General features: G+C 41.2%; 1 protein-coding gene across 1 annotated transcript; it reads right to left on the reverse strand.

Annotated features, from left to right (window-relative positions):
* Positions 1–1,572: 1,572 nt before the first annotated feature.
* Positions 1,573–2,916, reverse strand: HNRNPCL1 (heterogeneous nuclear ribonucleoprotein C like 1). The gene is made up of 2 exons (NM_001013631.3): positions 2,877–2,916; positions 1,573–2,666 (listed from the first exon to the last, which is right to left on the reverse strand). Exon 2 carries the CDS (start codon positions 2,483–2,485, stop codon positions 1,604–1,606), a length of 882 nt encoding a protein of 293 aa, NP_001013653.1. The 5' UTR covers positions 2,486–2,666; positions 2,877–2,916; the 3' UTR covers positions 1,573–1,603.

The following is a 2,916-nucleotide window of genomic DNA, read 5'->3' on the forward strand; positions in this document are numbered from 1 at the left end:
AGGTCAGGATTATTCTTTGTCATATCTGCACCTGCATATTGCCAGTGAAAACCTGCAGGTCACATTAGGTAGACTTCCAAATTGATCATCTGTGGAAGGTCTTATGATTGGCTTACATCCTGTCCCTGAGTAAAGAATCTGATCTTGACTTCATGAGTGCCTGAGACTCTTCAAGTACTGATGAAGGCTTCACCCAGTGACAGTGAGAAGGACACTGATTTGATTCTGATCGTGAAGTTTTGCTGGTTGTCTTGCAAGGAAAATATTTTTGCCTGTCATGTTGTCATCTAAAGTCAATGATTGTAACCTCTGTATTGTCCCTTCCAATGGAAAAAACAAAAACAAAAAAGCTCAACTCTATTAGAGCCTTGCCAGGATAAAACAAAAGAAAATTAAAAAAAAAACAACTGATAGGAGGAGTCCCATCCCCTTCTTTCAACCTTTCTTATAAAAGCATTCCAACTTGCAACAAAAGACAAAATTGACAAATGGGATCTAATTAAACTAAAGAGCTTCTGCACAGCAAAAGAAACTACCATCAGAGTGAACAGGCAACCTACAAAATGGGAGAAAATTTTCACAACCTACTCATCTGACAAAGGGCTAATATCCAGAATCTACAATGAACTCAAACAAATTTACAAGAAAAAAACAAACAACCCCATCAAAAAGTGGGCAAAGGACATGAACAGACACTTCTTAAAAGAAGACATTTATGCAGCCAAAAAACACATGAAAAAATGCTCATCATCACTGGCCATCAGAGAAATGCAAATCAAAACCACAATGAGATACCATCTCACACCAGTTAGAATGGCAATCATTAAAAAGTCAGGAAACAACAGGTGCTGAAGAGGATGTGGAGAAATAGGAACACTTTTACACTGTTGGTGGGACTGTAAACTAGTTCAACCATTGTGGAAGTCAGTGTGGCGATTCCTCAGGGATCTAGAACTGGAAATACCATTTGACCCAGCCATCCCATTACTGGGTATATACCCAAAGGACTATAAATCATGCTGCTATAAAGACACATGCACATGTATGTTTATTGCGGCATTATTGACAATAGGAAAGACTTGGAACCAACCCAAATGTCCAACAATGATAGACTGGATTAAGAAAATGTGGCACATATACACCATGGAATACTATGCAGCCATAAAAAATGATGAGTTCATGTCCTTTGTAGGGACATGGATGAAATTGGAAAACATCATTCTCAGTAAACTAAATAACAAATAAACAAAACTAAACTAAACTAACAAATAAATAAACTAAATAAACAAAATAAGAAATTATTTTGGAGACAGTTGATAAAAACCATACATCCTTTTTACTGTTAAGTCATAAAGAGGTGTCAAAATTAAAAGGAAAAATTACAGGGTAAGACTTAGGACAACTACTAGGGGTGTCAAGGGAAGTGAAAATGGGACTAGGCACAGGGCAATATGAATTAATGAACATGGGAAGGACAAAGATGGGGAGAACAGTAAGCATGTGCTGAAGATACTAAGGGAGAGGATCTGGTGAAAAATTTGTTGTTAGACAAGCTCCTAGGTAAAGAAACAATGGGATAAGATTTCTCAACCCCACTATGTGCTTAAGAGTCATCCTGGCCATTGGTGCTGTCTCTGTCATCCTCTCCTTCCTCAGCCTCTTTTTCATCATCCTTGATCAACTCCAGCTGGTCATCCCCCTGATCTTCATTAACATCATCATCCAGTGGGTCCCCCTCCTCAGCAGAGTCTTCTGCACCCCCCTCAGACTCCATCTTCACATGAGTCTCATCTTTCTTCATGGAGCTACTGCTCTGCTCCTCTTCTGACTTAGCATTTTTCACCTCTACCTCTTGTTTGCTCTGTTCCTTTTCAATTTTTTCCAGGTTTTCCAGGAGAGAATCCACTTTCTGTTTTATCTGGGTCAACTCCTGCTTAATGGCCTGAAGGTCATCACCTTTCAACTTTCCAGACTTGGAAGATCCCCGCTTTCCACTCTTAGAATTGAAGCCACTTTTGCCCCTTCGTGAGGTGTTTCCTGATAGACGTTGACGTTTCGAGGGCACTACAGCCAGAGCAATGGGAGGAGGAGGAGGTACACGTGCTGGGAAACTGTACATTCCATCATAATAATCCCGTTGAAAGCCATAGTCCAAGTCAAAAGAGGAGCCGTACATCTCCGCTGCTGATCGTTTCACACCTGCGTTTCCTCGGTTCACTTTTGGCTCCGCAGCCAGGTTAATATCTACAACCTGGCTAGCAATCATTCTGCCATCCTCTCCTGCTACAGCAGCCCGGGCATTTTTCTCCTTATCATATTGAACGAAGGCAAAGCCCTTATGAACAGAGCAGCCCGCAATTTTGCCATACTTGGAAAAGATCGCCTCCACATCCGATTTCTTGACAACAAGAGTGTTGAGATTCCCAATGAACACACGGGAGTTCATGGAGTGAGGATCCATCTTGTTGGTAACGTTGCTGGCCATTGTGTTGGATGATAAGGTTTCTCAAAAAGCCAAAAACAGGAGGCGGGAGGGAGAAGAGATTCGATTCTAAGTCTCCTACTGCCGGGTTCTACGGGGAGAAACTGACTGCGGCTCGAGGCCAGAAATGCAGCCAAAACAGCTCAGTCTTCGTCTCTTCACAAAATGGCTCCCAACAAGAATTCTGAAATGATGTAAAGAAAAGCACAACAACATTTTTGAAATAAAGACAAAATTGCATTTAGAAAAAAAATCAAAGCTTCAAAGTGTTCATATGAAAAAAAGAAAAAAAGACAGGATATAGTTCTGTGCCGTCGTAGGCTGCACTGTCACCGTTCTAGACCGGCTGACTGTAGGTCAGATGGGAGTGTCCTTCCAGAAATTAGTGACTTACCAGATCTGGTTGTAGTTTAGACCTCTGGTTGTAGTTGTAG

The sequence above is a fragment of the Homo sapiens genome, chromosome 1 (assembly GCF_000001405.40).
Source record: "Homo sapiens chromosome 1, GRCh38.p14 Primary Assembly".
Lineage (NCBI taxonomy): Eukaryota > Metazoa > Chordata > Mammalia > Primates > Hominidae > Homo > Homo sapiens.

Bases quoted from the DNA above. Each gene is read 5' to 3' on its own strand.
- HNRNPCL1 (NM_001013631.3), bottom strand. From the start codon at position 2,485: ATGGCCAGCAACGTTACCAACAAGATGGATCCTCACTCCATGAACTCC.